General features: G+C 39.8%; 1 protein-coding gene and 1 pseudogene across 3 annotated transcripts in view; both read left to right on the top strand.

Annotated features, from left to right (window-relative positions):
• The window catches only part of PPP1R42 (protein phosphatase 1 regulatory subunit 42), a 64,452-nt gene extending 41,908 nt beyond the window's left edge, over positions 1-22,544 (top strand). Inside the window, exons 5-7 of one of the 3 annotated variants that reach the window (NM_001364911.2) lie at positions 4,467-4,598; positions 15,507-15,666; positions 22,313-22,544. In NM_001364911.2, the coding sequence (NP_001351840.1) occupies positions 4,467-4,598; positions 15,507-15,634 (260 nt within the window). In that variant the 3' untranslated portion in view covers positions 15,635-15,666; positions 22,313-22,544. The remainder of the gene's footprint in view (positions 1-4,466; positions 4,599-15,506; positions 15,667-22,312) is intronic. The other 2 variants (NM_001364910.1, NM_001364912.2) reach the window with 2 other exon arrangements.
• Positions 192-2,725, top strand: LOC100288001 (pre-mRNA processing factor 3 pseudogene; annotated as a pseudogene).
• Positions 22,545-22,625: the final 81 nt, after the last annotated feature.

Here is a 22,625-nt window from a genome sequence, read left to right as displayed (position 1 = left end):
TTAGTCCGGGAAACAGAAAGCAAGCAACTTGTTCACGGAAACGTTTCGGTTCTGCGACGCATGCGCTCTGCCTCCAGGAAAGTGGCAAACATGGCTGCACGAATTGGCGGCCCGGCCCACTCTGGTCACGTGTTGGGAGACAGCGGCGTGGCAGCTGCCGTGGCGATAGGGACAACAGGCCTAGGGCAGTCAGAAGGTTTCTGGTTCCGGTTTAACTTTCGGCCTCCGTCTCGGGGCTGAAGTTTGTGAGCTGTAGTATTGAGTCCCATTTGAGCTATTCTTTTTCCTGAAAAATGGCACTAAGAGGGAGCTGGATGAGCTGAAACCATGGATCCTTTCACAGTCGTTGATAACTACAATTAGCCACTCTTCCTTAATCTTTTCTCCCTAATTTATCAGTGATGTCAGGCAGGGCGCGGTGGCTCACGCCTGTAATCCCAGCAATTTGGGAGGCTCCAAGGTGGGTGAGAAGACAGTGAAAAGCGTGCTGGGTTTCTCAGAGCCTACAGTGGTCACAGCAGCATTGAACTGCTGTAGGGAAGAGCATGGACAAGAAGAAGGCAGCCGATCATCTGAAACCTTTTCTTGATGATTCTACTCCCCGATTTGTGGACAAACTGAGGCTGTAGGAGGAAGGCGGAAGCTCTAGGCATTCCAAGTCTAGCAGTGACGGAAGCAGAAAACGAAAGCTAAAGAAGGTGTTTGGTGATGACTCTTGAGCTCTCCAAGGAATCATCAGGAGTAAAGAAGCAGCAAATACCCCATTTTGAGAAGGTGGAAGAAGAGCCAGAGGTGATCCCTGGGCCTCCATCAGAGTCCTGGCATGCTGACTAAGCTCCACATCAAACAGATGATGGACGCAGCAAAATGGCAAATCCAGGAGAGGAAAAAACAGCTGTGCTTCATTAGCCCCCCTACACCTCAGCCAAAGACTCCTTCTTCCTCCCAACCAGAGCAACTTCCAATTGGCCACACTATTCAGCCCTCCCAGGGTGCCACTTTCATGAATGATGCCATTGAGAAGGCAAGGAAAACAGCTGAACTACAAGCTCGAATCCAAGCCGGGCTGGCACTGAAGCCAGGACTCATCAGCAATGCCAACATGGTGGGCCCGTCTAATCTCCATGACATGGGCATTGCTTCCCCAAAGGGGGAGTTAAAAGACCAAATTAAACCTACACCACTGATCCTAGATGAGCAAGGGTGCATTGTAGATGCAACAGGCAAGGAGATTGAGCTGACACACTGCATGTCTACTCCTGCCAATATTCGTGCTGTTCCCTCTTCGGAGGGAACCATTCAAGCAACAGCTAAAAGAAAAGCCATCAGAAGACATGGAGTCCAATACCTTTTTTGACCCCGAGTCTCCACTGTCGCTTCCCAGCGCCAGAAACGCACTTTTAAATTCCATGACAAGGGCAAATTTGAGAAGACTGCTCAGCGATTAAGGACAAAGGCTCAACTGGAGAAGCTTCAGGCAGAGATTTCACAAGCAGCTCAAAAAACAGACATCCATACTTTGACTAGGCTTGCCCTTATTGCTCCTAGGAAGGAGCTAAAGGAAGGAGATATCCCTGAAATTGAGTGGTGGGACTCTTACATAATCCCCAATGGCTTTAACCTTAGAGAGGAAAATCCCAAGAGAGAAGATTATTTTGGAATCACAAATCTTGTTGAACATCCAGCCCAGCTCAATGCTCCAGTTGACAATGACACACCAGTTACTTTGGGAGTGTATCTTACCAAGAAGGAACAGAAAAAACTTCAGAGACAGACAAGGAGGGAAGCACAGAAGGAACTACTAGAAAAAGTCAGGCTGGGCCTGATGCCTCCTCCAGAACCCAAAGTGAGAATTTCTAATTTGATGCGAGTATTAGGAACAGAAGCTGTTCAAGACCCCACGAAGGTAGAAGCCCATGTCACAGCTCAGATGGCAAAAAGACAGAAATTGCATGAAGAGGCCAACTCTGCCTGAAAACTCACAGCAAAACACAGAAAGGTCAAGAAAATTTAAAAGCTTAAGACATTTCACAGGGGGTACACGTATCTGTATATGGAGTTAGAAATTTGAGCACCCCAGCCAAGAAGTTCAAGATTGAGATGGAGTTAGAAATTTAGCACCCCAGCCAAGAAGTTCAAGATTGAGGCCAATGCTGGGCAACTGTACCTGATAGGAGTGGTGTTACTGCACAAGGGTGTCAACGTGGTAGTAGTGGAAGGGGGCCCCAAGACCCAGAAGAAATTGAAGCATCTTATGCTGCATCGGATAAAGTGGGATGAACAGACATCTAACACAAAGGGAGATGATCATGAGGAACCTGATGAGGAAGCTGTGAAGAAAACCAACAAATGTGTACTATTCTGGGAGGGTACAGCCAAAGACCGGAGCTTTGGAGAGATGAAGTTTAAACAGTGTCCTATAGAGAACATAGCTCATGAGCATTTCAGAAAGCATGGGGCTGAACATTACTGGGACCTTGCGCTGAGTGAATCTGTGTAGAGTCCACTGATTGAGACTACTGCAAGCCCTTGCCTCTCCCCTCTTGCCTTTGTCTCTTCTGTCCTCTCACTTATTCTGTTTCCCAACCCACTCCCACTTGTATGATCTCAGAACTGTGCCAAGCAGACATTGGGACAAAGGGAGAATATCTTGCTCCCTTCCCCAGTCAGCCTGGTGTTGCCCTTTATTCCCCTTATGTGCGTATGATTAAAGAGTTTGTTTAAATAAATAATAAAAAAGAATGACCTTTATTGTAAAGTTATAAGTACTAAGATGTTTGACAATTTCTTATGGTTTGGAGAGTACTAGCTAGTTCAGTGAAAAAAAAAGTACATGAAATAAGATATGGAGACAGTTTTACTTCTAGATTCTGTGGTTCTAGTTTATATTCTTTGTTTCAACATTTTGTTTTCTACTTTGGGTATAACACAGTATTATGGCTCATGTTTAAGTGGTAGTGTTAATATTTTCAGTAGTACAACTAATATTTTATCAGAATATTGTCATTATCCCTGAAAGGATGTGTGATCTAATAAATTTTACTGCATCCTTTCTACATTCTGGGATCTAGTGGATTACATGGATAATGAGAGAAACTATCTAATTTTCAAAACTACTATACATAAATTTTATTAGAAAAAATCTATCAAGCAGAGTCCTATGGAAAGAAAGAAAAAAATTTTGAAGAAAAAAACCATCCTTCTATTAAATGAAGATCATCTGTGTTCATGTAATTAAAGAAACAATATAGGCAATATAAATATCCTATAATAAGGGAATTGTTCAATATTTTATAATATATCCATAAACAACAGAAAACCAGCCATTAAGGAAACATAAGCCATATTTAAGGAAAAAATGGTAAAATGTTCACAACACAATATTAATAAGCAGGATGCAAAACTAATATAGAGGATTCCAATTTTATATACATATATAGAAAATAAAAACATGCTAAGAAATATACAAAAGTGTTATCAGTGATTATTTCTCATTGGGGAATAATTTTTTTATTTTTTGTGTGTTTTCCAAATGTCTTACAACTTGCAAAAATTATTTGTATAATTTATGAAGCGCAATTTCTATCACACCTCTGTAATCCCAGGGCTTTGGGAAGCCGAGGATCGTTTGAGGCCAGGAATACAAGAGCAGCCTGGGCAACATAGTGAGATCCCATCTCTAAAAAAAAAAAAAAGCTTTTAATTATCCAGGCATGGTGGCACATGGCTATTGTTCTAGCTACTCGGGAGGTTAAGGCAAGAGGATCACTTAAGCTGAGGAGTTTTGAGGTTGCAGTGAGCTAAGATCATGCCACTGCATTCCAGCCTGGGTGACAGAGTGAGATCCTGTCTCAAAAATAAATAAATAAACAAACATAATAAGGGGTATGGTCAGGAACGGTGGCTCATGCCTGTAATCCCAGCACTTTGGGAGGCCAAGGCAGGCGGATTGCTTAAGCTCAGGAGTTCCAGGCCAGCCTGGGCAACATGGCAAGACCTTGTCTCTACTAAAAATACAAAAAAATAGCTGGGGATGGTGGTGCACACCTGTGGTCCCAGCTATTCGGGAGGCTGAGGTGGGAGGATCACTTGAGCCCCAGGGGGCAGAGGTTGCTGTAAGCCAAGTTCACTCCATGCACTCCAGCCTGGATGACAGAGCGAGAACTTGTCTCAAAAAAAAAATAAATAAATAAAAGGGGGATAATAATTACAGAGCCTTTTAATGTTTTATTTAATGATATTTCCATTGTTTATAACAAGCACATATTCTTTTTGGAATCAGAAAAAAATCTATAAATAAAATCTCAACAAAAGTACATGCGTTGTATAATTAATGTATTTTAAAAACAAATTTATTTCAGTCTATGGTGTAACTTAAGTTTCTGTGCTCTGAACCAGAAGTGCATATTTTGACTTATGTTTATATGTATATATTGTATTTTTTAAATGTATGTATTTTTCTCCAGAATTTCTTGATGGAAAAGAAATTAAAAATATAGAAAGACAATTCCTAATGAATTGGAAAGCATCCAAAGATGCCAAGAAAATCAGCAAAAAAAGGAGCAGTAAAAATGAGGATGCAAGCAATTCACTCATAAGTAAGCACTCTGTCACTCATTAGGTGACTGCTCTTCTAGCAAAGGAAATATTCTAGGCAACAAAAAAATGCCAACAAATAAAATAGTTTTTGTTTAGTTTTTTGTTGTTGTTGTTTTATGGGGTTTTTTAAAACTTATTTACTTAGTTGTACATAAGTACAATTTGTCTTGTATTAGAAATTTCACCTATAATGTTTATGTAAATGGTAGCCACTGTGAACAACAGCTGTGTTTGGTTTTGTGTAAACATAGAGCCACAAGGGTGGGGAAAAATGTATAATTGTATACCTGGCAAAAGTGCATGATATCAGCTATGTAAATTGTGAAACCTAAGCCACTAGTATATTTGTTAAGTAACAGTGCAAAAAGGCCAGGCACGGTGGCTCACACCTGTAATCCCAGCACTTTGGGAGGATGAGGCGGGTGGATCACCTGAGGTCAGGAGTTCAAGACCATCCTGGCCAACATGATGAAACCCTGTCTCTACTAAAAATACAAAAAATTAGCCAGGCGTGGTGACAGGCACCTGTAATCCCATCTACTTGGGAGGCTGAGGCAGGAGAATCGCTTGAACCCAGGAGGCGGAGGCTGCAGTGAGCCGAGATTGCGCCATTGCACTCCAGCCTGGGCAGCAAGAGCAAAACTCCATCTCAAAAAAAAAAAAAAAAGTGCAAAAATCACATTTTTCATCAGGATAGAAAATAAAAATATATCACGACCACATCTGTGGACTGTCTCCCTTCTTATGCACATACTCCAACACCTGAAAATTTGGATTATAATATACCTAAAGTTGTGTTACAAACGACATACCAACCTCCCTTGCCTAACTAATGCAACAAAATGTAACTAAGAGTAATGTGTAACAGTTATCTTAATTTTGGAGCATCCAAGAACTGACTAGTCTGGCGGGGCACGGTGGCTCATGCCTGTAATCCCAGCACTGTGGGAGGCTGAGACAGGCAGATCACATGAGGTCAGGAGTTCAAGACCATCCTGGTCAACACGGTGAAACCCTATCTCTACAAAAATACAAAAATTAGCCAGGCATGATGGCAGGTGCCTGTAATCCCAGCTACTCGGGAGGCTGAGGCAGGAGAATCACTTGAACCCGGGAGGTGGAGGTTGCAGTGAGCTGAGATTGCGCCATTGCACTCCAGCCTGGGCGACAGAACAAGACTCCGTCTTAAAGAAAAAAAAAAAAGAACTGACCACAGATTTTTTAGCCCATGACATTGCAATGAGCCCCTTCCTCCTTTCCATGATAGTGTTTGAATGCTAATGTTCTTGTTCTACAACTGACTAAGGGAAGGCATAAGGACATAGTGAAGGGGCTAGGCCAGGGAAATAGGAAAAGGGAAATGGGGACACTGTAGTGAGGCTTTATGCTAGGATAGGATAGCATATCCTAGGAGCTCTGTCACTCTAGGACATAGTGTCTGACATGAGGAGGAGCACGGGTGGAGAGGCATGGAGCTCTAGTGATTTTGCCATATCATGTTCACTGAATACGAACTACGGGCCAAGCATGGTGGTTCACACCTGTAGTTCTAGTACTTTGGGAGGCTGAGGTGGGAGGATAATTTGAGCCTAGGAGTTCAAGATCAGCTTGGGGAACACAGTGAAACCTCATCTATAAAAAAAATACTTTAAAATTAGCCAGGCATGGTGGCATGTGCCTGTCGTCCCAGCTACTTGGAAGGCTGAGGAAGGAGGATCACTGGAGCCTGGGAGATCAAGGCTGTAGTGAGCATGATTGTGCCACTTCACTCCAGCCTGGGGAACAGAGCAAGACCCCATCTGAAAAAAATAAAGAATATAAATTATGGAAAATCATTAAGTAGAATGGGATTTTCTTAGTTGATAATATACTCATGAGTATATTACAGTATACTGTGTTGCAATGTGAATTTCTCAAGATCTGAAACTTCTAAAATAGTCAGAAGGTATTTTTCCTCTGTTCATTCCTGGCTGGCTGTGAAGGGCAGAACTAGACCTAGGGTAAGGATTCTAGTATTTTACATATTTTCAGTATTACACCAAAGATGTCACTTTTTAAATATTTAATACCAGCCCTCACCCCAGAATTGGGCCAATTCTAAAAATAATGTAGTTTCTTTCATTTTAACTGATTTCAAAAATTCTTCCTAATTTAGGGACAACTACATTAATTAATTGTTAACTTCAATGAAATTTGACAAAATAATAATATGTCTTTAAATTTACAACTTAAAAAAATTATAGTCTACTAACCAAAGCAATCTATACAATGCAATCCCTATAAAAATACCAATGACATTTTTCACAGAAATAGAAAAAAAATCCTAAAATGTGTGTGGAACCCCAATAACCAAAGCAATACTGAGCAAAACCAACAAAGCCAGAGCCACCACACTACTAGACTTCAAGATATACAACAAAGCTATAGTAACCAAAACACCATGGTACTGGTATAAAAACAGAAACATAGACTAGTAGAACAGAATAGAGAACCCAGAAACCAATCCACTTAGCTACAGCCAACTGATTTTTGACCAAGGTGCCAAGAACATATGTTGGATCACAGCTCACTACAGCCTCGATCTCCCAGGCTCAAATGATCCTCCTACCTCAGAACTCCCAAGTAGCTGAGATGACAGGCGTGTGCAACCATACCCGGCTAATTTTAAAATATTTTTTGTAGAGATGAGGTCTCACTGTGTTGCCCAAGCTAATCTTGAAATCCTCGGCTCAAGCTATCCTCCTCTTCAATAAATGGTGATGGGAAAACTGGATATCCATATGCAGAAGAATGAAACTAGACCCCTAGCTATCACCCTAAGCAAAAATCAACTCAGTATGGATCAAAGACCTAAATATAAGACCTGAAACTATAAAACTACTAGAAGAAAACAGAGGAAATGCTTCAGGACATTGGTCTGGGAAAAGATTTTATAATAGAACCTCAAAAGCACAGGCAATGAGAACAAAAATAAACAAGTGGGATTATGTCAAACTAAAAAGCTTCTGCACAGCAAAGGGAACAATCAAGAGTGAAAAGACAACCTATAGAATGGGGAAAATATCTGTAAACTATTCATCTGACAGGATTATTATTCAGAATATACAAGAAACTGAAACATCTCAAAAGCAAAAAAACAACCCAGTTTTAAAATGGGCAAAGGATCTGAACAGACATTTCTCAAAAGAAGACATACAAATGGCCAACAAATATAAGAAAGATATGCCCAATATCACTTAATCATCAGGATGCAAATCAAAACCACAATGAGGTGTCATCTCATCCCAGTTAGGATGGCTATTAACAAAAAGACAAAAAATAACAACAGGTAGCCAGGCACAGTGGCTCACGGCTGTAATCTCAGCATTTTGGGAAGCTGAGGTGGGTGGATCACTTGAAGTCAGGAGTTCAGGAACGGCCTGGCCAACATGGTGAAACCCTGTCTCTACTGACAATACAAAAGTTAGCCAGGGGTGGTGCACACCTACAATTCCAGCTACTTGGAAGGCTGAGGCACGAGAATCGCTTGAACCCAGGAGGCAGTGAGCTGAGATCGCACCACTGCACTCTAGCCTGGTGACAGAGTGAGACTTAGTCTCAAAAATAAAAACCAAATGCTGGTGATATGGTTTGGCTGTGTCCCCACCCAAATCTCATCTTGAATTGTAGCTTCCATAATTCCCATGTGTTGTGGGAGGGACGTGGTGGGAGATAATTGAATTATGGGGGTGGTTTCCCCCATACTGTTCTTGTGATAGTGGATAAGTCTCATGAGATCTGATGATTTTATAAGCAGTTTCCCCTTTTGCCTGGCTCTCATTCTCTCTTGTCTGCCACCATGTAAGATGTGCCTTTTGCCTTCTGCCATGATTGTGAGGCCTCCCCAGCCATGTGGAACTGTGAGTCCATTAAACCTCTTTTTCTTTATAAATTACCCAAGTCTTAGGTATGTTTTTATCAGCAGCATGAAAATGGACTAATACAGCTGGTGAGAATGCAGAGAAAAGGGAGCTCTCTTATACACTGTTAGTGGGAATGTAAAGTTGTACAACCACTATAGAGAACAGAATGGAGGTTCCTCAAAAAACTACAAATAGGGTGCTGGACATGGTGGCTTACAACTGTAATCCCAGTGCTTTTGGAGGCCAAGGCAGGAGTATCAGTTGAGACTAAGAGATCAAGACCAGCCTGGGCAACAAAGCAAGACACCATCTCTTCAAAAACATTATTTTTAAAATTAGCGGCCAAGCGAGGTGGCTCATGCCTGTAATCCCAGCACTTTTGGAGGCCAAGGCAGGTGGATCACTTGAGGTCAGGAGTTCAAGACCAGCCTGGCCAATATGGTGAAACCCCTTCTCTACTAAAAATACAAAAATTAGCCGGGCATGGTGGTGCACACCTGTAGTCTCAGCTACTGTGGAGGCTAAGACAGGAGAATCGATTGAACCTGGAAGGCGGAGGCTGCAGTGAGCCAAGATCATGCCATTGCACTCCAGCCTGGGAAACAGAGCGAGACTCCATCTAAAAAAAGAAAGAAAGAAAATTAGCTCAGTGTGGTAGTACACACCTGTAGTCCCAGCTACTCAGGAGGCTCAGGCAGGGGGATTGCTTGAGCCCAGGAGCTTGAAGCTGCAGTGAGCTATGATCACGCCACTGCACTCCTGCCTGGACAACAGAGCAAGACCCTGTCTCTTAAAAAAAAAAAAAAAAAGCAAGGGTGGGCGCGATGGCTCACGCCTGTAATCCCAGCACTTTGGGAGGCCATGGCAGTTGGATCATAGATCAGGAGTTCAAGACCAGCCTAGCCAAGATGGTGAAACCTCGTCTCTACTAAAAATACAAAAAAAATTAGCTGAGCGTGGTGGCACACGCCTGTAATCCCAGCTATTCGGGAGGCTGAGGCAGAGAATTTCTTAAACCTGGGAGGCGGAGGTTGCAGTGAGCTGAGATCACACAACTACACTTCAGCCTGTGTGACAGAGCAAGACTACGTCTAAAAAAAAAAAAAAAGCAAAACAAAACAAAAACCTACAAATAGAACACTACCAGATTTTCCTTGAATTTAAAAAAATTCCTTGAATTAAAAAAAGAAGAAGAACTACCATATGATCTAGCAATCCCACTACTGACCATCTATCCAAAGGAAAAGAAATCAGTGTATCAAGGAGACATCCACACCCTCATGTTTGTTGCAGGAGTATTCACAATAGCCAAGATACAGAATTGCCCTAAGTGTCCAACAGATGAATGGATAAAGAAAATGTGGTATATATACACAATGGAATACTATTCAACTATAAATAAGAATGAAATCCTGTTATTCGCAACAACGCGGATGGAAATGGGGGACATTATGTTAAGTGAAATAAGCCAGAAACAGAAAGTGAAATGGTGCATGTTCTCACTCATCTGTGAAAGCTAAAAAAAAAAAAAAAACCAAAAAGTTGATCTCATAGAATTAAAAAGTAGAACGAGGATACTACAGACTGGGAAGGCCAGAGGGAATAAGGCAAGGGAAGAGAGAGATTTGGTAAAGGTTACAAAATTACAACCAGATAGGCGGAATAAACTTTAGAGTTCTATAGCAGCTGTCCCCAACCTTTGTAGCACCAGGGACTGGTTTTGTGGAAGACAATTTTTCCATGGACCAGAAGTGTGGTGGAGGGGGATATTGTTTTGGGATGATACAAGTACATTACATTTATTGTGCACTTTATTTCTATTAACATTGCACTGTAATGTATAATGAAATCGTAATTCACCATAACGCAGAGTCAGCAGGAGCCCTGAGCTTTTTTTCCTGCAACTAGATGATCCTATCTGGGAGTAATGAGAGACAGTGACAGATCATTGGGCATTAGATTCTCATAAGGAGTTCACAACCTAGATCCCTCGCATGCACAGTTCACAATAGGGTTCATGTTCCTATGAGAATCCAATGCTGTAGCAGATCTGATAGGAGGCAGAGCTCAGGTGGTAATGCGAGTTATGGAGAGCAGCTGTAAATACAGATGAAGCTTCATTCGCTTACCTGCCACTCACCTTCTGCTATGCGGCCCAGTTTCTAATAGGCCACAGACCAGGACCATTGGGGTTGGGGACCCCTGCACTATAGGATGACCATAGTTAACAATCATATATAGTTTCAAATAGCTAGAAGGAGAATATTGAATGATGCCAACACAAAGAAATGATAAATGTTTGAGATGATGTATATGCTAATTTCCCTGATTTGATCACTATACATTATATGTATTGCAACATCACTATGTACCCTATAAATATGTACAATTATGTCTCAACTAAATTTTTTTAAATTAGCCATTTAATTTTCTCAAAACAGTCCTTATTAATCTCTTTATAATCTAGTGTGAGCCCCAACTAACAAAAACCATCTTTTTTTTGATAGAGTATCACTCTGTCACCCAGGCTGGAGTGCAGTGGCACAATCTCAGTTCATTGCAACCTCTGCCTCCCAGGTTCAAGCAATTCTCCTGCCTCAGCCTCCCGAGAAGCTGGGATTACAGGCGTGTGCCACCACACCTGACTACTTTTTGTATTTTTAGTAGATGGGATTTCACCATGTTGGCCAGGCTGGTCTTGAACTCCTGAACTCAAGTGATCCACCCACCTTGGCCTTCCAAAGTCCTGGGATTACAGGCATGAGCCACTGCGCCCCGCCCAAAAACAATGTTTAAAGTCATATAGATAAATTAGCAACAAACTATCTGAAAAGAAATTATGAAAATAATCCCATTTACAATAACAACAAAAGAATAAAATACCCAGGAATAAATTTAATTAAGGAGGTGAAAGACATATGCTGAAAACGACAAAACATTGATGAAAGAAATTAAGACATCTTCTGCAATGTCTGCTTATAAATTTTAAAAGAAATTAAACAAGACACAAATGAAAAGACACCTCATGTTCATGAACTGAAGACTCAATATTGTAAAATATCCGTAAGACCAAAAGTGATCCACAGATTCAATGCAATTTCTATCAAAATCCCAATTGCATTTTTTATAGAAATAGAAAAAAGCAATTCTAAAATTCATATGGAACCACTGAAGACCACAAATAGCCAAATCAATCTTAAGAATGAAGAACAAAGCTGAAGGCACCACATTTCTTAACTTTGAAATATATTACATAGATACAGTAATCAAAACAGTATGGTACTGGCAGAAGACAGGCATATAGAGAAATGGAACAAAATAGAGCACCCAGGAAAAAAATCCATGCATATGTAGTCAATTGATCTTTGACAAGGTGCCTAGAATACACAATGGGGAAAGAAAAGTCTCTTAAACAAATAGTGGTTTTTGTTCCTCCAAAGAAGACATACAAATTTCTCCAAAGAAGACATACAAATGGCCAACAGGTATATGAAGAAATACTCAATGTCAGTAATCATCAGGGAAATGCGAATCAAAATAGATATGAGCTATCACCTCACATCTGTCAGGATGGCTTTTATTTTTTTTTCCGAGACAGAGTTTTACTCTTGTTGCCTAGGCTGGAGTGCAATGGCGTGCTCTCAGCTCACTGCAACCTCCGCCTCCTGGGTTCAAGCAATTCTCCTGCCTCAGCCTCCCGAGTAGCTGAGATTACAGGCATGTACCACCACACCCGGCTAATTTTGCAATTTCAGTAGAGATGCGGTTTCACCATATTGGTCAGACTGGTCTCCAACTCCTGAACTCAAGTGATCCACCTGCCTCAGCCCCCCAAACTGCTGGTATTACAGACATAAGCCATTGTGCCCAGATGGCTATTATTTTAAAAAAGGCAACACGTGTTACAGAGGATGTGAAGAAACTGGAACCCTTGCACACCATTGGTGGGAATGTAAAATGGTGCAGCCACTATAGCAAACAGTATGAACGTTCCTCAAAAAGTTAAAAATAGGACTGCCATATGACCCAACAATCCCACTTATGGATATTTATCCAAAAGAATTGAAATCAGGATTTCCAAGAGACATCAGTACTCCTATGTTCATTGCAGCACTATTCACAATAGTCAAGATGCGGAAACAAGGTACATGGACATTGGACAGATGAATGGATAAAGGAAGTGTATATTAAATGGAACACGGAACACTATTCAGCTTTACAAAGAAAGGAAATTCTGCAATATGTGACAACATGGGTGAGCCTTGAGGGTATTATGCTAAGTGAAATGAGCCAGGTCAAAGAAAGACAAATACTGATTCAACTTATATAAGATATCTAAAATAGTTAAATTCACACACTCAAAGAGTGGAGTGCTATTTCCAGCAGCTGAGGGGAGGAAAGGGAGACTTACTAATCAATGGGCATAAAGTTTCGGCCAAACAAGATGAATAAACTCTAGAGATCTACTATACGATATTGTACCTAAGGTAAAAAAAATAATGTATTGTACATTTAAAACTTTGTTAAGAGGGTAGATTTTGGCTGGGCGCGGTGGTTCACAACTGTAATCTCAGCACTTTGGGAGGCTGAGGCAGGCAGATCACTTGAGGTCAGGAGTTCGAGACCAGCCTGGCCAATATGGCGAAACCCTGTCTCTACCAAAAATACAAAACAATTAGCTGGGTGTGGTGGCGTGCCCCTGTAGTCTCAGTTACTTGGGAGGATGAGGCAAGAGAACTGCTTGAACCTGGGAGGCAGAGGCTGCAGTGAGCCGAGATGGCACCACTGTACCCCAGCCTGGGTGACAGAGCAAGACATCGTCTCAAAAAACAAAACAAAAAACAAAACAAAAAACCAAAAAAAAAAAGGAGGGTAGATCTCATGTTAAATAGTTTTGCTACAATTTTTAAAAGTCCATATAGAATGTTATAGTATGTAAGCTTCATTTCAGACCTTGTGGTAGTTGCTGTTATGATAATTATTAATAATTTAAAATGGAAAGCACTCAGAATTAGAAGGCAAAGAAGAGGGGGCAAGGGAAGAAAAAAGAACTGACATTTACTGTGCTAAACATTTCAGATATTTACATACATTACTGCATTTAATCATTATAACCTGTGAGGCAGAAGATCATTATATGCATTTTGCAGATGAGAAAGTTCAGTTTCAGCAAATGAAGTGACTTGTCTTGAGTTTACAAAGCTAGCAGGGGGCACAGGCTAAATGAAGCTGGGATATAAGGACAATTAATGTTCTAAAGCAATAATGCTCTACTTAGAAATTCACTTCAATTTGGTGGGAATTTGGGAAAATAACAGATGTGGAAATATGTGATATGTAAACAATTTTTATAACTAAAAAGGAGCTAGAGGAAATAGGATAATATGACAAATTTCAAAATTTTAAAGGGAGTACTCAAATAGATTACATAATTTACTATATTGAAAAATGGTCTCGGCCAGGTGCGGTGGCTCATGCCTGTAATCCCAGGACTTTGGGAGGCTGAGGTGGGCAGATCACCTGAGGTCAGGAGTTCACGACCAGCCTGGCCAACATGGTGAAACCCCGCCTCTACTAATAGTACAAAAATTAGCCGGGTGTGGTGGCAGGCGCCTATAATCCCAGCTACTAGGGAGGCTGAGGCAGGAGAATCACTTGAACCCGGGAGGCAAAGGTTGTAGTGAGCCGAGATTGTGCCACTGCATTCCAGCCTGGGTGACAAGATGACACTCTGTCTCAAAAAAAAATGGTCTCTAAAATCAATTAAAATAAAATTTAAAGTGAACACACTGAGTAGCTGCAGCAGAAAATTTTCTGAGCTTTTCTCAGGAGTACTTGGTTATTCTTCCTTGGCCATTTGTAGGTCCTCCCTCCCCTTTGCCCATGTTTGCCATCCCCATCCAAACAGATGGTACAAACCTGGAACTCTCAGGCTTAAAAGCAGTGACATCCCTGTATACACGTATGTAATATACAATAACTCTATCCTTTTGTATATGTCCAATAGCATACTATATGGTCTTTATGCAAAGACTCTTTTATAACTGTGCAAGAGAAAGGGAAAGCATAAATTAAAATCTAGAAAATATATTATGTATTTTCAAAATCTACAGTATACCTACCTTTCAGGTCTTTAGAAGAGTTAAGATGAACTTTTTAAAGGCACCTCTGTGCAACCAAATACATTGTAAGGGAACAGGAATTCTTAAAAAGATGGTAATAATTTTTGTACTTCCTAATCTTTTATGTGTTTTTGATAGCCTTGTAAATTTGGAGCTCTATATTGGGGATTATGGTAAAATTATAGGAATTATTATAACCTCTAACTTCAAGGATCTTACAATTTAAAAATCTTATCCTAAGTATAGCCATATAGCTATATAACACAAAATTGTAAACATACTTTAATATCTTAATAAAATCCAAAATATTATACTCACATCTTTTAGCCCTTTCTTTTATAGCACTTCTATAGAAAAATTCATAACAAACATTTAATAAACATTTATTAAGCACCTCGAATGTGTCCAAGAATATGCCAGCCACTGTGGATTAGAGGTGAATAGGGCTGTCCCTACTTAAAAGGAAATTACTGCTGGAAAGGGAGGAGGATCTGAAAGCAGGTAAATGATATGGAATGTTAAGTGCCAGAATAAAGGTATGGACATATCCCCAAAACGATACACGATTAATTTACTCCCTACAAGTTAAACAATTTGAAAAAATAAACTAACTCAGAACAGTAAAATTAAGGGCAGTTAATGTTTATATTAATGTTGGCATGCTCATTTTATTTTAAGAGTTGATCATGAACTTTCCTGTATAGGTTTTTGTATATGAAAGTCTGTGCTATTTTTTCCTCGGGTTATTAATTTTATTACTAGTTTTACTGTGTATTCATTTGGCTTTATTTAATTTTTAGATAATCTAATATTGTTATACCCTTTTTAAAAATTTAGTTATTAATTTCAAAGCAGAATGCTTTTATTTCTTTGTGTGCTACAGGTAACTTCAAAACAATGCATCATATAGTTCCTGTTTATTACCCACAGGTGGGTAAGCCAAAATTAGCCTTTTTCTCTGAAATACAGAGATACCCTGTAAATGCAAATGCATCTCCAGAAAGTTCCTGAGAAGATTACACTAAAATTATTTAAGAGATGGGGTAGGTTCTTTCAAATATTTATGTGACTTTATCTTTTTGGTGGGGAGGAGACATCTTCACAGTAAACAAAGAGGAACAGAGGCCATCCAATCTGTCTCCTAGTTCTTTGTTCTCAATCCTTTTTGGCCAAACATAGAAAGAAAGAAAAAAAAAGTTCATTGTTGGTCTGCCCAAACACTCAGAAAGTTACGATGGGAAGGGGTGTTTCCAGAAGACTTCGGCGTTAGACTGGATACACCCACTGAGGTAAGGTAGGAGACTCCGAAAAGTCCCAGAGGCAGTAGGTAAAGATGTCTCAATGATCAGGGATTCTGTCAAAGGAGCCTGAGGCCTAGCTGATGATGACTAGTCCACCAGTGGGTGGGCGACTTCAGAGCATATGGTTGCAGAAAGTCCAGAGGCCTACAGAATTAGACTACTTTCACCACTTCTACAAACCAGATTTTTAAGCTGTTGTCTCTGAAGGAGGCAGAAGTTTCTCCTGATGAGGAAAAATTTGCTTTTTGGTTTAAAAAAGGTATTGCTTTGATGGAAAAATAAACCAGAGCTGGGGACAATGGTTCACGCCTATAATCTCAGCATTTTGGGAGGCTTAGGTGGGCAGATCATTTTAGTCCAGGAGTTCAAGACCAGCCTGGCCAACATGGAGAAACCCCTTCTCTACAAAAAAAAAAATACAAAAATTAGCTGGACATGGTGGTGCGTGCCTATAGTCCCAGCTACTTTGGAGGCTGAAGTGGGAGGGTCACTTGAGCCTGGGAGACAGAGGCTGCAATGAGCTGAGATCGCTCCACTGCACTCCAGCCTGGGCAACAGAGTGGGACCCCATCTCAATAAATTAAATAAATAAATACCCATACCAGAAAGTAATTTCATTTATATATAAAACATGAGACATCTGCCATATGCTGGGCAACACTGAATATAAAAACTCAAATGAGATAATCCTGATCTCAAATATTTTGCCACAAGCTAGCTGGGGAGTCAAATGTGATATAATTACTCTATAATGTGATAAATGCTATGGGCTTTAAAAACCAGATCCTAATACATCTTATAAATTTTGCATTAAACTTATTTTTTCATTTATAATCAATACAATGATTGCTCTATTGATCCTTCCAACCAAATAAGATTAGTGATCGCAATATACTAAAGGCCAATAATAGCATATTTCATTGAGAAAGTAAACAGAGCCAGGGGACATACTTTGGAATCGTTTTCCTTTTCCCAGAACTGCCTGCTGAAGGTCAAGTGGGCTTATCATGACACCCTCTTCGAAGGGTCCCATCGAGGGATGATGATTTAGAATTGCCTAGTACAGCCCACCTCAAGAAGCCCTGTGAACATTACTGCTGCACTGTCCTACCCCTATTCCCTGCAGAGTGGCTCAGGCTTGCTGGGATGCAGTCTTAGGAGAGAGAAGGTCTGTGGGTATGGAAAATGCTTTATTTGGGGAGAAGTGAAAGGATATGCAGGGAGTCCTCGTTTTGGTCTTGCCTCCTCTCCATTCACAATAAAACAGGAGCTATGTGAGACATTTACTGCTTATGTCCATTGTCATTATCACCAAACCATTGCCTACTTGTCCATAGCACCACAATAATTTCTTAAAGATTTACACAACTGTTATCAATTCCACAACAGTGTTCTTAAGTTTTGTTGCTTTGCCAAGCATTTTGAAAAATCTTGCTAGTATATCATCAAGGAAGAAAATAAAACAATAAAAATGTACACAGCCTCAGAAAACAATGTTGATGAATTCTATACATTGCCACGTGCATTGTTAGATCAATAGTGAGCTGTGGCCCATTCCACATATTCTGTAGCCCCAAGCAAAGCTCAAGTCACTAGGAGTACACTGATAAAACATCAAATAAATCACTCTACCCTCATTTTCCTAACTACGAACACTAAATACAGAACTAAATGCATTTTTTAAAATACAAACTACTATGTACTGCAAAGATAGGCTATCCTAAATGAAGCCAGCAAACCAAAAGGGTTCTGTGAGAACATAAGAATGTCCTGCCTCTGCCACCATCAAGTGAAGCCAATTATGTTCAATCCTGAGTCTTCAATTTTATCCTGTGAAAAAGCATTACATAAATTTTTAAATGCTTATTATTTCCTCAGGCAATACTTTCACCTTAGGTATGCCAAAATATTGTTTTAGTATATCAAAAGATTTAATACGTATTAAATGAGATTATCAGTTCTACCTCTCTTTAATAAAAGGTAATCAAATATATTACAGAGTTTCATCAAACTCTTGATACAGATTTTCAGGGCATGCCTTTTGCTAATTTTAGCAATTTAACATAAATCCAGGAGATAATCAAAATAAAGCTAGAAGGTCAGTAAAGTGTTAAAAACAAAATACTCAGCCTAAACACAAAGAACAGATTTTTAGTTTCTAGAAAATTGATTAAAGCTACCCCTTGCCTTAATTACTTTAAGGGAAAGAATGAGCTGGCATCAGCAGACGTGTCCCTACACTCTATATTTAATATTCAAGGTGGGGAGCCTGCTCAGAGGTAGAAATAAGCTTACGGTGCATCTTCCAAAAAGCTAAAGGTATGTGCCCCACACTCCTTTAGGGTTCTACACACTGGGGGCTGTGCCTGTATCCTATGTGGAGCCAGTGAAGCAACATCTGTCCAAAGACAGGGGAATGTTTTCCACCTCTTTTATAAATGTGTGCAATCTGTGCTCATGTATGTTTATACAAGCCTGCTTTCTCTACTGGGAGGAAAAAGTCAGACTCATTGACGTTGTTTTTGACCCTCAAACTGAACTTGATACTATCAATGTATACTTTAATTAAAGATTAGGTCAAACCTATTTTTTATTTAAAGGCTGATTCTGAACAAATGCCTTCACTGTTCAATTTTTTAAAATATGGTATTAAACAAACAAAAAAGTACACATTATTGCTTCTTTCTGTGTTTGTCACAGTAAATACTTCTGACAGATGTTTCCTCTCTTTGCAAACATGCTAGGAGGTGCCTGAGCCTTAGTAATTTTAAAATAGACATTAAATGCATTTATATATTGCATATAAAATCCACCGAGAATACTGTGTAGCACCATACAATGAAAAACTAATTGTTACTTGATTATTTAACTATCTTTCAAACCCAAGCAATGTTAATAGAGTCAATCCATCTCTTTTGTTAATGTAAAAATAGTAACTTTCTAGCTGGGTAAAAATGCCCTTAATTTCAGATACCTTTAAGGAATACAAATCACTGGGACCCATAATTCACAGGAAATATTCACTGTATATTATTTAGCTATTTATAAAATACCTAGTACCCTTTGTTAGAATATGGAAGCATTAGGTTTCTTTGAATTAAAAAGTGAACTCGAATAACAGTTAAAACAACTTTCCTTCACCACTGTTAAGGTTATATTTGAACAGTTGTAACAACAGATCTATGTGCTTAGGGAAGAATTTTTAAAACTCAGATATTTTTAGTCACAAAACTCTGGAATGATGTTATATAAACTCACTTGCAAATTTTGCTTTGTTAAACATAACGGTCTATTTAATTTTATATGCAAAATAAGCTTATGTGTATCAGTAATGTAGGTATAATGCTAATATTTGGATTTGCAGTTCTCAAAGAACCATTTTGAAATTATGGTAGTCCCCCCTCTTTCCCAAAAAAAGCACAATAGTGGTAAGCAACAGTGTTTTTAGGCTGGGTGAGGTGGCTCATGCCTATAATTCCAGCACTTTGGGAAGCTAAGGAAGGAGAGAGGATTGCTTGAGTCCAGGAGTTCGAAACCAGCCTAGGCAACACAATGAGACCTCATCTCCATAAGAAAAAAAAATTCAGGTGTAGTAGCTTGTCTCTGTAGTCCCAGCTACTCGGGAGGCTAAGGTGAGAGGATTGCTTGAGCCCAGGAGGTTAAGGCTGCAGTGAGCCGCGATTGTGCCACTGCACTCCAGACTGAGCGACAGAGCAAGACCTTGTCTCAAAAATCAAAAACTTTTTTTAGTTAAAACAGACTAGTTTTAGTTAAAACAAGCTAGTTTTTGTGACTTCTGATCTCAACTCTGTCAATGGTTTACTCTGTGAACAAGAGTTATATAAGATCTAATTCAAAAGAATTATATTATTTTCCATTTTAAAATGCCTATATTTTGAAAGCTGAATCTTCATTATCCAAACAATTTTTTTTTTTTGGAGACGGAGTCTCGCTCTGTCACCCAGGCTGGAGTGCAGTGGCGTGATCTTGGCTCACTGCAAGCTCTGCCTCCCGGGTTCATGCCATTCTCCTGCCTCAGCCTCCCGAGTAGCTCGGACTACAGGCGCCTGCCACCACGCCCGGCCAGTTTTTTGTGTTTTTAGTAGAGATGGGATTTCACCGTGTTAGCCAGGATGGTCTTGATCTCCTGATCTCGTGATCCACCCGTCTCGGCCTCCCAAAGTGGGGGGATTACAGGCGTGAACCACCGCACCCAGCCTATCCAAACAAATTTTAAAAGACAACGGAACTCTTTTAAGAATACTATAAGCCCCATTTTATAGATGGGAAAATGAGGCTTGAAGAGGTACAATCAGAAGGACCCAACGTCACACAGTTGCCATGAGCAGGGCTAGGACTTGAACACAGCTCACTGACTCCAATAGCCAACCTCTCAAGTACTCTGCTGGGGACTCTCAAAGAAAACCACCCTTAGGAACAGGAAGGGATAATAAGTGAGAACAGGTGAGGGGGTGACTAAGGTGAACTGGTAAGCACATGCCCAACTAAAGGCAACTGTAGCTATTCAGCTCCACAATGGTGTGGCCAGATGGACATGCATCGCACTAGCTGGCAAGTGAGATATCTCGATTATGAAATCATCTGATTTTTAAATATTTAACTTTTTCTTAAAAAATAACATGTACTAGAATGGATAAAAAGAAAAAACAAAAGCTGGTAATGCTGGCTAGGATAGGGAGCAACTGGAACTCTTGTGTACTACTGGCTGGAATGCAAAAATAGTACAGACACTTTGGACAGTAGTTTGACATATTCTTTTATTATGTATTTATCTTTTGAGAGACAGGGTCTCATTTTGTTGCCCAGGCTGGAATGCAGTGGCTCAAACACAGCTCACTGCAGCCTCAACCTTCTGTGTTCAAGCAATCCTCCTGCCCCAGCTTTCTGAGTAGCTGAGACTACAGGCATGTTCCACCACGCCCATCTAATTTTTTAAATTTTTTTGTACAGACCGGGTCTCACTATACTGTCCAGGCTGGTCTCAAACTCTTATACTTAAGCAATCCTCCTGCCTCAGCCTCCCAAAGTGCTGGGGTTGCAGATGCGAACCACTGTATCCAGCCAGTTTGACATATTCTTATAACGTTAAGCTGGGCGTGGTGGTACGTGCCTGTAGTCCCAGCTACTTGGGAGGCTAGGGTGGAAGGATCACTTGGAGGATCACTTGATCCCCGGAGTTCAAGCCTGCAGTGAGCTATGATCACACCACTGCACTCCAGCCTGGGCGACAGAATGAGAGCCTCCAAAAAAAAAAAAAGAAAAAAGAAGGTAAACATACATTTAACACTTCTAGCAGCTAGTGGTTCACTCCTGGTTATTTTCCCAAGTTAAATGAAAACGTATACTCACAAAAACCTGTACCTGAACATTTATAATATTATTCATAATCACCAAAAACTGGGAACAATCCAAAGGTTTTCTTTTTTTTTTTTTTTTTTGAGACGGAGTCTCACTCTGTCGCCCAGGCTGGAGTGCAGTGGCGCAATCTTGACTCACTGCAGTTCCAAAGGTTTTCATCTGAGGAATGGATAAACAAACTGTGGTACATCTACACAATGGAATACTATTCAGCAATACAAAGGAATGAACTAGTGATACACTCAACAACATGGATCTCAAAAGCATTATGCTAAGTGAAAGAAACCAGACTCAAAAGGCTACATACTATATAATATGCTTCTATTTGTATGACTTTCTGGCAAAGGCAAACTACAGAGCCAGAAAACAGATCAGTAGTTGCCAGAAACTGGAGGTGGGAGAAAGGGTTGACTGCAAAGGGTCAGCACAAGATAATTTTGGAGAATGAGAGTAATGTTCTGTATCTTTATTGCATTGATGGTTATAAGACATATGTTTATGAAAGCTTGCTGAGCTGGGTGAATTTACACTGAAAAGGGTGAACTTAACTATGTAAATTACAATTTAAACAATGAGAGAAATAGTTGAAATGTGAAAAAAGTACCAATTAATCTACTGTTTTATATACATATAAAACATTTATATATAAAAACAATATGGAATAAATTGATATGTATGATTATTTTGCATTATAAGGACAATCTGGGTGCAAAATATAAGAAGCCCCAGACACCTCAAATTTGCCTCATCTTAGACCTGGTCCACCTTCCCTCTAATATTATTTCCATACCTCTCACAAATCATAGATTTTTCACATTCTTCGCTACACCAAGAGGAAAATCTTTGTTTCTGCTTCCTTTTTAAAGCCCGACAAGATTCACACTGTTTGGTGATTAATCATTAGCCTTTAATATTGTTATTGTGTCCTAGATTCTGTATGTTTGCTACCTTTTAGGGATACTTTCATTTTTTTAATTTAATGCTTTTTTTTCCCTCTCTATAAATACAGGAATCTCTCTTTGAAGCAATCTGAAAGCTTGCTGACAAAAAATGATGTGCATGAACCTCACCTCTTCCATAACCCAGAAGAAAAAGAAAATTTGTTTGTGGAAAATGAGTAAATTCAGCCTCAAGTGACAGGAAACGTTTGATTTTGTTTTTAACCTTATATGACTAGGCAACAATATCTTTTGTGGGTTTGTAGCTTTATGGTATCTCATAATATAAGGAAAAACTTTTAAGTTATTGTTTGATTTGCTGCTTTATAGAATCTGAAACATTGCTTTCCACCTGTGAATTCAGGGATCTAGTTGCTTTATTCC

The sequence above is a fragment of the Homo sapiens genome, chromosome 8 (assembly GCF_000001405.40).
Source record: "Homo sapiens chromosome 8, GRCh38.p14 Primary Assembly".
In the NCBI taxonomy this organism is placed as follows: Eukaryota; Metazoa; Chordata; class Mammalia; order Primates; family Hominidae; genus Homo; species Homo sapiens.
The sequence above is the reverse complement of the archived record's forward strand: the minus strand, read 5'-3'. Positions and strand labels throughout refer to the sequence as shown.